We start from the raw sequence: 12,875 nt of genomic DNA on the forward strand, positions 1-12,875 counted from the left end.
ATTAAAATGGTAGGCCAGGCGTGGTGGTTCATGCCTGTAATCCCAGCACTCTGAGAGCCAAAGCCAGAGGATCACTTGAGGCCAGGAGTTTGACACCAGCCTGGTCAACATTGTGAGATCCTGTCTCTACAAGGAAGAAAATATTGGGCAGGCATTGGTAGCTCATGCCTGTAGTCTCAGCTACTTATTAGACTGAGGTGAGAAGATGGTTTGAGCCCAGAAGTTTGAGGTTACAGTGAGCTATGATCATGCCACTGTAATCCAGCATGTGTAACACAGCAAGATCCTATCTCTTAAGAAAAAAAAAAAAAAAAAAAGATTAAATACAATCATGTATGAGGTTGGGGGGTTATATGGGAAATATCCGTATCTTTAGCTCAACTTTGCTGTGAACCTAAAACTGCTGTTAAAAAAAAAAAGAAGAAAAAAAGAAAAAAATACCTTTAGAGACATGGAGACAGACAGAGTGAGTGAGTCGTAGCTTCCAAAGAAGAGACTAAGATTTTGAGGAGATAATATCTGGTTCATATTAGGAACTCAGTAAATATTTTTGAATCATTGTATTGTTTTACTAAGCAAATGTTCCTATTTGAATGAAAAAGTAGGCTGTTGTAATTTGACTATGTCATACCACTTAAGAATCATGAAAACTACTCAGGTATCTAAGAAAGATGATGTATTTCTCTGGATAAATGAATTTTTTTTAGGACTGAAAGCATTTTTTCTATTAAGTGTGCATGTTTATGCCTAGCATTTATATGAAGCTACTAAATAAACTCTTTTAAAGAATCCTAATGTCATCCCCCAATGAATAGATTTGTCGCTGCTCTTCAGTGTACTTTTGCTATTAGCATATGTAGTTAGTTGTTTATTTCTTTTATTGCAAGAAGATGGCATTACTAAATTTCTGTAGATATTTTTTAAAGTATCTTATTCCTAAGAACTTCATTCTTACTTGTTCAATAATTGTTTGAATTGCCTTTTTGCTTTAAAGTATTATATTTTATCTTATAAATTACCATAGTATCCAAAATGGTTGTGCCCACGTCTGTTTTTCCACTGCATGGAATGAAGTGGTTTAAATCTATTTTCTTTCTCCTATAGTGGTTCCCCCTGGAAGTCCTGGGCCCATTACTCGACATGGGTCTTACGACAGTTTAGCTTCTGACCATAGTGGACAGGAAGATGAAGAATGGCTTTCCCAGGTAAAACTCTGAAATATTGAGAGTATTAAAGTAAAATAAAACAGAAATTTACTGTTTTTATTCTTTTCCTTAGAGGTAAAAGGGGAGAATTGGTAACTCTTTATTGGATTATCAAGAATTAGTTGTCTTTCCATATTACAAATTACTCCACAAATATTGCTGCAGGTGTACATATACATATTATATATACATTATACGTGTGTGTATATATATATATGTTAGCTTCCATAAACATGGCATAAAATTTGTGTATTTTTCACACAATCCATTTAAAGCCTTAGGGCCTTGGAATCAATTAATTTATTAATTTTTGAGACAGAGTCTTGCTCTGTCACCCAAGCTGGAGTGCAGTGACACGACCTTGGCTCACTGCAACCTCCAATTCCTGGTTTCAAGCGATTCTCATGCCTCAGCTTCTTGAGTAGCTGGGATTACAGGCATGCACCACCATGCCTGGCTAATTTTTGTATTTTTAGTAGAGAAGGGGTTTCGCCATGTTGGCCAGGTTGGTCTTGAACTCCTGACTTCAAGCAATCCACCCTTCTTGGCCTCCCAAAGTGCTGGGATTACAGACGTGAGCCACTGTGGCCAGCCAGGAGCTTGGAATTTAAATAGGCTCTTTGGAACACATTTTCATCAGGTTTAAAATAAAAGTTGACCTTGATGAAACAGTGAAGCCACTCAGCAATCTTTGGGATTTGTTTTGTGGAGCCAACATTTTCCGAAGATTGAGTTCATACTTTCATTATTGGAAATATAACATTCCACCCTGCAGAAATTCTGATGGTGCCTTGGTTTCCTTTCCTAAGCCCATGTAATGCTGCTTTTAGTGGTCTCTAAGCCAGCCCTACAACATTGCTGGGACTGCAGGCACGCATCACCATGCTGGCTAATTTGTTTTTTTTGTTTGTTTTTTAATGTAGAGACAGGATCTCCCTATGTTGCTTAGGCTGGTCTTGAACTCCTGGGCTCAAGCAATCCTCCTGTGTTGGCCTCCCAAAGTGCTGGGATTACAGGCAAGAGCCACCATGCCCAGTCTCCAACAGCTTCACTGACCATCCCTCCCCTTGCCAGGTGAAGCTGTCTTCATCTCAAGGGCTTTGAAATAAAAGATACTTGGGCAGATGTCAAAATGATGGGATTACAAATGACTTCATTACAAATGCTGTTATGTCTGCCTCAAGTCTGACATCATTTTATGAAGCTAATGACCTATCTCAGGTTACCAATCTGACAGCTTTTCATCGGACAGGTGCCTCAAAAATGTGGAGGCCATTTGTAGTTTCATTTCTTTCTCAAGGAGGGTAGCCTGAAAACTAAAGTCTGGAAAATCAAAAGTAAAGTAAACTGGAAAATCAAGCAGTGTCTAGGTAACATGTATTTATTTCATCACACCAAAAATATTCACAGGAAGTTCCTTGAAGGAAGTTGATTCTTCAGTTCCTGGCATGTGGCGGTCCATCCTTTCTTAATGTTAGGAAGATAAAGTAAACCCCAAATGTGTGTTTTTTCCAAAATCAAAATGTTGTCCAAGGAATGCTGGCAGAGAAACCACTGTCCTTCACTTCAACTTTTCAATTAGAAAAAGGGGTAATGTGTGCTGTCAGTGTGAAAGTATATACAATGTGTTTGTCCGGCACACAACAGGAGAGTGAATAGGAACATCTGGCCATCGCCTCGGTGAAATTGAACAGGCATCTGTTTACCTCTGGGCTCTGTGACACTGATGGTTTTGAGCTTAAAGTACACAGAATGCTTTATCTGTGGCCTAATTTACATTGCTGAATACAACTACTTGAATCAGAAATCACTGTCCTCAATCTGAGCATTTTTCTCCCTGTGATTAGTAGGAATGTGAATATTGTTCCAAAGACCATGATGCTTTTGCCCTTTTGGACTCACACAGGGCTACACTCTGTGAACCTTTTCAGTTATGTTTTGTTAAGAATTAATCACCACAATCAGAGAAATGTGATTAAATATAAAAGAACTCAGGACAAAAATAAGGCATGTGGGAAGTCAATTACATAAAGTATTTGCACAGGCATGAATGTACCATTGACAAGACATTTAAACTAGTTTGTATATTTAGTCTCTCATTCGAGTTGATTATTTGTAAAAAAAAAAAAAAATCATGTAATATATATATTTTCAGGTTTTTCCAAGTGTCTTCTACCCACTTCTTTGACTTTATAATGTTTAATAAAGTATTGGCGGCCGGGCGCAGTGGCTCACGCCTGTAATCCCAGCACTTTGGGAGGCCGAGGCAGGCGGATCACCAGGTCAGGAGACCAAGACCATCCTGGCTAACACGGTGAAACCCCGTCTCTACTAAAAATACAAAAAATTAGCCGGGCGTGGTGGCGGGCGCCTGTAGTCCCAGCTACTGGGGAGGCTGAGGCAGGAGAATGTAGTGAACCCAGGAGGCGGAGCTTGCAGTGAGCGGAGATCACGCCACTGCACTCCAGTCTGGGCAACAGAGCGAGACTCCGTCTCAAAAAAAAAATGAAATAAAATAAATAAAATAAAATATTGGCAACATTCCCTATCCCCCCCATTGAGCGTGAAATTCATAAAGCATTTTGGTATTACTGTTTTGTAGCACATCAAATGCCTGTGTCGATATTTGTGGCAGTTGAGAAAACACACTAATTAATGGTATTTGGAAGACAAAAATCTAGTTTGAGAGAAAATATATAATAATGTTTTCATTTAAAAGTGGATTGGGGTAATATTAGGGCAGTATAATAAATATTATAATATTTTATTGTGGAAATAAAGTGGCTTTGGGCATTAAAATTATTTCAGACCTTTACTTTTCCTTGGATGGTTCAAGAACAACTTCACGTTTGTCATAAGCTTGATCCTCAGTGAAGGAATTGCTTTTAATCTGTGGATTAATAGGTGTAGTATTCAGTGCATGCCCACAACATGGTAAGTACTGTCTAGAATGAATGAAAAGGTAGACCCTACGGAGCTGACACTAGTTATATGAGGCAAGCAACTGGTCCTTTTACTTTCATGTGATTTTTGTCTTGTATATGTGTGTGAGGTGTGCATGTGTGTCTGTGTATGTATATGTACACAAAATGTATTTTTGGCTTATGTTGATGAAAAGCAGTAGAGGGATATTTTGAATGTCTACATCAGCTGTGATTATCATCACCTTTTAATTATGGGTGTCCTATCCCTTTGCCACTTTAACATGGGCTTCTTGAAGAATGTGGGTGTTAAGAGGAAGAATGGGGGATTGTGAAGTCTCTCAAATCAGGATCACAAACCATTTAAATCATCATTGCTACTCCATTCCAGGTTGAAATTGTAACACACACTGGACCCCATAGACGTCTGTGGATGGGTCCACAGTTCCAGTTCAAAACCATCCATCCCTCAGGCCAAACCACAGTTATCTCATCCAGTTCATCTGTGTTGCAGTCTCATGGTCCGAGTGACACGCCACAGCCTCTTTTGGATTTTGATACAGATGATCTTGATCTCAACAGTCTCAGGTAGGAAATGAGAATTAGGGAGTGATTTGAACAAAAGGATTAATATGTTCGTGTGAAATGAGCATCATATGTAATATTTAGGTTTCCCCTTTTGGCACAGTATCATGTTGCAGACTACATGTACTGTTGCACGTAATTCCCTGTCATTACTTGAGATGGTATATAGGGTCTCGTGGGATCACATTACGTGCAATAAATACTTGCTTTTCAGATTATATTCTCCCTAAATCTAATAGTCACTGCACTTTTCAAGCAATTCCACTTTTTGATGCTTTGCTTATATTTCTAACTGCTTGAATCTGATTATGTATTCTTTTCCTGATCTTTCTGAAGTTGGCACCACCTTTCAATTAAATTTCATCTGTGATTTTTATCTAATCCTGTATCTCCCTTCTTTTAGATTATATAAAGTTTTTGGATGGAAAAACGTTGGTATAAATTCAATTATAGTTTATCTTCTATATTTTTATAATACATGTTCTCTCATCCTTATTTGTAGGAATCCTAGGACAGGTGTACAAATTATGCTTTTTATTATTAGCTTTTTTTTTTAATTGCAACTCAGACAGTTTTGACTTGCAGTCTCAAGTTTGCTTAGCAGTTTAATTTGTTATACCAAGACTTGACACATTAGGGTGCAACAGATAATGAAGGACTCAGTCTAATGTAATATAATCTCCCTTTTCTTGTCTTCTCTTTAAAAAAAACTCTATAGTATATCTTGAATTGAATATAAAACAACCCTCTGACCTTTTTCTTGCACACCTTTTAAAAAATAGTGGGAAAAAATGTTCCAGTTACATAGTGGAAATACGTTTTTGTCTTCTTTGTCAGTAACAATAAAAAATTTTTATAACAAGATGAAAATTGTTGCAAAGTTGGATTATGCCTGATGTATCTGTTTAGAAAATATGACACATATTTACTGAGTACCTGCCAGGAGGTGCCAGGAGATAAGCCTAGAGTACGGCCGGCTGCCTACTTGGGTCTGAATTGCAACTCTTCATCTCACTCCCTAATCCTGCTCTCACCCCTATTCTTTGTCATCTCTATTTTATTTTATTTATTTTTTATTTTATTTTTTGAGACGGAGTCTTGCTCTGTCACTCAGGCTGGAGTGCAATGGTGTGATCTCTGCTCACTGCAACCTCTGTCTCCTGGGTTCAAGCAGTTCTCCTGCCTTAGGCTCTTGAGTAGCTGGGATGACAGGCGCCCGCCACCAGACCCAGCTAATTTTTGTATTATTAGTAGAGACGGGGTTTCAACATTTTGGCCAGGCTGGTCTTGAACTCCTTACCTCAAGTGATCCTCCCGCCTTGGCCTCCCAAAATGCTGGGATTACAGGCATGAGTATTTTTTTTTTTTTTTTTTTTTTTTTTTGAGACTGAGTCCCACTCTGTCACCTGGGCTGGAGTGCTGTGGTGCGATCTCAGTTCACTGCAACATCTAGAATGTATTCTAGCCTCCTGTATTCAAGCGATTCTCCTACCTCAACCTCCTGAGTAGCTAGTATTACAGGTATGTGGCACCACGCCTCCCTAGTTTTTGTGTTTTTAGTAGAGATGGAGTTTCACTATGTTGGCCAGGCTGGTCTTGAACTCCTGACCTCAGGTGATCTGCCCGCCTCTGCCTCCCAAAGTGTGGGGACTACAGGCGTGAGCCACTGCACCTGGCCTCATCTCTTTAAATTACTCCACAAACTACCTACTCAAGACAGAATCTAGAGGTTATCCTTGAAATCTCTCCTTTCACAGATGCCACATCTAATTCTTCACCAACTTATGTCATTTCTATTCAAAATACATCTAGAAACCTTCCACTCCTCTCCATTCCTAATGCCAGCACCCTAGCAACATCTCACAGACTCCTAACTGCTGTCCCTTTTTACATTTTTGCTTTCCCCTGACTGATGTATCTTCTTAAAGAATGATTCAGCCAGGCGTGGTGGCTCACGCCTGTAATCCCAGCACTTTGGGAGGCTGAGGAGGGTGGATCATGAGGTCAGGAGTTCGAGACCAGCCTGGCCAACATGATGAAACCCCATCAAAACCCTACCAAAAAAATACAAAAAATACAAAAAATTAGCCGGGCATGGTGGTGCACACCTGTGATCCCAGCTACTCGGGAGGCTGCGGCAGGAGAATTGCTTGAACACAGGAGGCGGAGATTTCAGTGAGCCGAGATCGTGCCACTGCATTCTAGCCTGGGCAACAGAGTGAGACTCCGTCTCAAAACAACAAACAAACCAACACACAAAAAAAGAACGATTCATCAAGAAGAATGTATCTTCTTTTAATACCTTGTTTAGTATTTTTTGTTTACTCTGCTTTGTATTTTGTTTTTTTCTTCTCTGCATTTTTTTTGTTCCAGCATAATTCCTCCAGCTTTCTAAAAATGACATTTTTTGACCAAGATGTCAGGTAATAATGACAGAATACAGTGAGAGTGTCAGACCAATTTTCAGTGATGCTAATTGATTAAATATGGTCTAGATTAGGACCTGAAGCCATGATCAGGGAGTCAATTCTTTGCAGTCCTCAACTTAGTGATTCAGTGTACTCGTGTTTACAACAGTCATTTGGTTATTTAAATCTTAATAATAAAGCGTTTAAAATAAGTAACCAATTTATTCTCTTCACAACTATATAACACATTTAGTTTTTTTGCTAAACCGTGCACAAGACACTGTCTCATTTTTTTTCTAGTGATTGACCAGCTGCTATTTATAAAGCCCTGTGCTGTACTTTTTCTGAGGATGTCTTTGCCCCATTGTTTCGTGGCCTCCTCAGCTTTCTTTGTTACTCTTTTCCTCAGGTATAGTCCTTCTATTAAGATAATTCTAACTCGCTTCTTTTAAAAGCAGATATAGCTACTTTTCAGAATCCTTAAGAATTTTCCTCGCAGACTTTCCCTTTGTTAATAATAATAAATAACTCCCCAAATTTTGTTTAAATCTAAATGACTTTAAATTGTTTATGTTTGATTAGAATATTATCCTGTTTACAGGACACATATAACCTTTAGAAACCTTTATACTGAGCAGCAGGTTTATAAATTTCTGTTAATTGCATTTGTAATTTATATTTTAAACTTTCAGCAGGTAAGCTTGGTTGGGACCTTGGCTAAGACCCTACAGCAGTTTTTATGGGAAATATAGATTTTATTCACATCAATTTTAAGTCCTTTTTAGTACCACCATTTCCCACCCGGCATCCAATTAGAAACCCAACTATTGAGATTCTCCTCATTCTCGTTTATGATCACTCTAGCCCAGCTCCTTGTCTCTCATCTGATTTCTACACGCCTGTGCATGGTGGCCTATGGCCGACCATTGGCTTTACTTTCTCTCTTAAATTGTGAAGTCCTTGTTTAGATTTTTTGGGGCTCACCTGACCCTTGACACCTAGTACACTGTCCTGTACCCCATAGGATACCAATAATAATATGTAGTGCAGTGATAATCTTCCTCCCTGCCGCCTAACCAAAATGGGAAACAGGCAGGCATAGTGTTGACTCTCATCCATAAGGGAATCAGGCAAGCTCCCTACACAGAGCAGGTGTTTAAAAAGAATGGGCAATGAAATATTTGCTAACAGACCTGAGAAACATATAATGTAAAAGATGCTGAGTATGCAAAGCCTCTCTTTCCACTCGATTAGCTCCTCAGAAATTGGTTATCATTTATTTTATTTTATTTAACTGAGATATAATTCACATAACATGAAATTTACCAGTTTTAAAATGTACAAGTCAGTGGGTTTTAGTATATTCACTATGTTTGGCATCCATCCCACTAATTTCAGAACGTTTCCATCATCCCAACCAGTTTTTCTCTTTTTTTAATTATGAAGAAAATTCAAACATGTATAAAATAAAAAGAAAAATAGCATAAACCCCCATATATCTGTTGTCCAGCTTCAGCTATCAAGTCATGGCCAATCTTGCTTCATCTGTAGCCCCATTCACACCCTACCTCCAACTCTGGATTATTCAGAAACCCCAATATAAATTGACTAACTATAGGAGTTGTATTAGCCCACATAGGAAGTTGTTTAGACTAGAAGGGGGCATAATTTTGAATGGACTGACCATATCTAAGAGGCTAGCTTTTTGTTGCTCTCAAGAACAAGGAAACTTCTTTTCCAGACACTTTAAATAAACTTCTCTTTTCTAACTGGCCCACATTAGCTTAGGCTTACCTATCCCCTAACTAACCACTGCCGAGATGTGATGAGATTACCATGATTGGCTTAGAAAAATTAGCTGGGGTGGAATGAATATTGGGTAGTCCTACATAGCAGTGATCAATATTTGTTAATCAGTATTTTCACCTTCCGGTAATAGATCATCCTATACCTCCCTCCTGTTTTTTCTTCCTCACAACAAAAGCATGCATTTCATAACTAGTCTGCAGTTCATACTTGGCATTTCAGGCTTCTGTCATCTGTCCCATGTTTCTTATCAACTTTTTATCTTCCATCAATAGCCTTTATGAACTCTATACTTCAGCCAAATCATGCACTTCAAGATGCCCTGAATCTATCGTATTCAGTCACTAATCTAAGTTTCTATATGTTGTAGTCCTGTGCTTAAAGGGCATTTCTTGCTCCTCTTCATTATGCGTATATACTATTACTATATACAGACCTAATCCCTGTTCCAGCTCTGCAAGATCTCTAACTGATGTGGACCCTGCATGTATTCCCCCATCTCCTCAATCTGAGCTTTTACTATTTATGTCATTCATATTTACACTTTAGTTTTATTTTGCATTGTCATGAATGTTCATGTGCTATGTCATATATATACACATTGGTCTGTATTTTATGTTTTGTTTCTGCTTGTTCTCAGAGTAATGCCTACAAGCAATTAATATTCAGTAAATACTTACTGTATGAATGAATTACCAGAAATGCATGCATATATTGTTGTAATAAGTTTTTGTTTCACTAAGTTGCCTGGGACTTTCAGATCTTTTAATCTTCCAGATACTTTTATGTTAATAGTATTTATTCTAATGCAGCTAGAAAGAGACACTCGGCATTTGGCATTTATATGTTTATTATTCTTTTTTTTTTTTTTTTGAGACGGAGTCTTGCTCTGTCACCCAGGCTGGAGTGCAGTGGCACGATCTTGGCTCATTGCAACCTCTGGTTTTTGGGTTCCAGCAGTTCTCCTGCCTCAGCCTCTTGAGTAGCTGGGACTATAGGTGCATGCCACCACACCCGGCTAATTTTTGCATTTTTAGTAGAGACGGGGCTTCACCGTGTTAGCCAGGATGGATGTTTATTATTCTTAAGCAACTTTAAATTGTGTGTAGTAATTTGCACGTTTACTGAGGTTCTAATTGATTGTTGTATGCTAGTTGGTAATTTTATAAAGGTAGCTCAGTTAGTAGTGACCCACCCCGGCCACAGTACATCTTTGTTATCCTATGCTTACTGTCAGATATAAAGTAACTTTCATTGAGCATTTTAATGGAGCATCTCAAAATTTGAAATTACACATTGCTGCCTTTTATGGAACACATTAATAGCTATGGTGATATTAGTGAATTTCAGGATTCTCAAAACTCTTCATGTGTGTCCCTTGGAAATCCCAAAGGTTTCAGTATAAACATTTTCAGTGTTTAATTTCCTCTCCCATTCTACTTATTGTATCCCTTTAAATTAATGTCAGCTTTTCAGTCCCTTCCTTAAAAATCTATGGAATAACACACAAAGATAAGTTAGAAGGGGTCCAGAGTGTAGAGAATATTTGTAGTGTTTTATCCTTGTGCAGCAATTAGGGACTGCAGCTCCCCTGTTTGTCTTGTTTTAGAATGGATGGTTCTTTAATGGATTGTGCTACTCCAGCATTCCTGATTTAAGGTCATTTGTAGCAAGTGACAGTTTTGATGCCAGTAACATATGTGAATTAAATTAAATTGCATTGCAGGATCCAGCCAGTCCGCTCTGACCCCGTCAGCATGCCAGGGTCATCCCGTCCAGTCTCTGATCGAAGGGGAGTTTCCACAGTGATTGATGCTGCCTCAGGTAGAAAACCACCTCTGAAATATTTATTGGGCAGTCCTGTGCATTTTTAACTAATTTTCTCGCACAATGTAGAGGATGACATTTATTTGCTTTCCTCTCTGTTTTTTTGTTTTGTGGTGTGTGTGCATTTTAATACAGTACTGTGCCTATATTTCTTGCTGAACAATGCCATGCTTTTAAGCATTCCTAAGGTTGGTGAATGATGCAGTGGAGTTGGCACTTGATTAAATGTAATGAACATAGTATTGAAGGCTACAGGGTTGATGACTGTTTTGCCTTTGATCACTGAAATGTGGAGAAGCAACCTTGACAGAGAACGTAAATACAATCTATGGATTCAATTTACTCAACCTGTTGAGTATCAAAGTGCCTAATCTGTGGGAGTAGAGAGGAGACAGTCCAAATGCTATAGCTTGAATGATTTTATTATCAAAAGCATCAAGTTTAAAAATTCATTAACTTAACCCTGGTCTATCTATCACAGTTATTAATTTCCTATCCTTGGAAACAAGCTATGAATATGTATCATTAGTACAGAGAAGGAGATCTTTGCCTTTATAGGTGATCGTTGCTCCATTAGTATTATAAAACTTTTCAGCCAGGCCTACTAAATGGTAGAATTGTCTGTAGTGATATATTTTCTCGTCTCTAAGTCAAGTGATAAAATAAGGACAGTGATGCCTTGCTTTATAGTGCAGCTGGGGAGCATCTGAAGACAGCGCATGGCAGGATTTTGTCCAAAAATTCTCTCTCAAGTAGAATTATTAAATACTCGGCGTTAGTCAAACAGTTGAGTCAGAGAGGATTTTAATCTATAGCGATTTCAAAATCCCTAGAGACTGCTGATTTGATTGAGGCTTAAACTGTGAAAGAAAATGGAAACAAACACAAAACTGATTTGTGAAGGTCACTTTAAAAAGACCAAAGTTTCTGTCTGTGGATATGGATATATTTTTAAGTTTCAAAGCTAATGGGTTTTATACATATTCTTAGCTTTCTGATTTTTTGGTTAGTGGATTGTACCTTGCATCTTACTGAGCTGCCCCATCTAGGGCTATGCCTTCATTTTTAACGTAGACTATTACTTTAGAGGACTCATACTTGTTCCTACTGCTTTAACTTGGCAACCATGGTTGTCCCCTGGAAATGAGCATGGAAATGTGTAGAGTCGCTATCATTGCTTCCCGGCACTGAATGAGATATCGAGATAGGGAACTTAAACAATAAATCTTTTTTATAGTCACATTCTGAGAATGCTAAGAGATTGTTGTGCTCGTTTGGAATGATCGTTTACAATTGTGAATCCTGGAAATGTTACATATTTTAATCTGAAGTATTTTATTCAAGATTACAAGAGTAGGCCTTGATTGGGCTTTTTAAACCTTCTTAAACTACCAGATTACTGATGTTTTATTGTCGAGTGACTAGCTACTAGGAACACATGCTGCCAAAGCAGTTACCTTGTGTTATTAAAAGTAGACATATTCAATACTAGATTCTGAGGTAACACTCCATATATATATATTTATTTTTTATTTTTTTGAGACAGAGTCTCCCACTGTCACCCATGCTGGAGTGCAGTGGCACGATCTTGGCTCACTGCAGCCTCTGCCTCCCAGGTTCAAGCAATTCTCCTATCTCGGCTTCCCGAGTAGCTGAGACTACAGGCACCTACCTGACACCACACCCAGCTAGTTTTTGTATTTTTAGTAGAGATGGGGTTTCACCTTGTTGGTCAGGCTAGTCTTGAACTCCTGACCTCAGGTGATCCACCTGCCTCAGCCTCCCAAAGTGTTGGGATTACAGGCATGAGCCACTGCGTCTGGCCAACATTCCATATTTATCATGTAGCAATCTTAGCTGTATGTAAAGTCATCTCATGCAACAAGGGAGGAGCTTCAGTGAACTGTTATTTAAATCCTTTTGCAAGAAGAGTTTTTAAGTTGACTTTTGAATAAGGAATTAGATCCTACATGTAAATAATCTGATATGTAAGTAGTCCTAAGATTACTTAATTTGCATCAGAGATACACTGTATGAGTTTCGATGGCATTGACCCTCTCTGCCTGAAAGTACCCATCTTTTGAGTAGGAAAGAACTTCTTGGTGGCTAAGCTTTATTATTAT

The 12,875-nt window shown here is 38.4% G+C and overlaps 1 protein-coding gene and 1 long non-coding RNA gene across 11 annotated transcripts in view; one reads left to right on the forward strand and one right to left on the reverse strand.

Annotated features, from left to right (window-relative positions):
- Positions 1-12,875, forward strand: part of BCAS3 (BCAS3 microtubule associated cell migration factor) — a 714,981-nt gene that overhangs the window by 395,965 nt on the left and 306,141 nt on the right. For all 8 annotated transcript variants that reach the window (NM_001353144.2, NM_001353145.2, NM_001330413.2 and 5 more), the window contains 3 exons: positions 1,105-1,205; positions 4,518-4,714; positions 10,652-10,749. In NM_001353144.2, the coding sequence (NP_001340073.1) occupies positions 1,105-1,205; positions 4,518-4,714; positions 10,652-10,749 (396 nt within the window). The remainder of the gene's footprint in view (positions 1-1,104; positions 1,206-4,517; positions 4,715-10,651; positions 10,750-12,875) is intronic.
- The window catches only part of BCAS3-AS1 (BCAS3 antisense RNA 1), a 101,500-nt gene that overhangs the window by 39,303 nt on the left and 49,322 nt on the right, over positions 1-12,875 (reverse strand). The window lies entirely within an intron of this gene.

Source organism: Homo sapiens, chromosome 17 (assembly GCF_000001405.40).
Source record: "Homo sapiens chromosome 17, GRCh38.p14 Primary Assembly".
Classification (NCBI taxonomy): domain Eukaryota; kingdom Metazoa; phylum Chordata; class Mammalia; order Primates; family Hominidae; genus Homo; species Homo sapiens.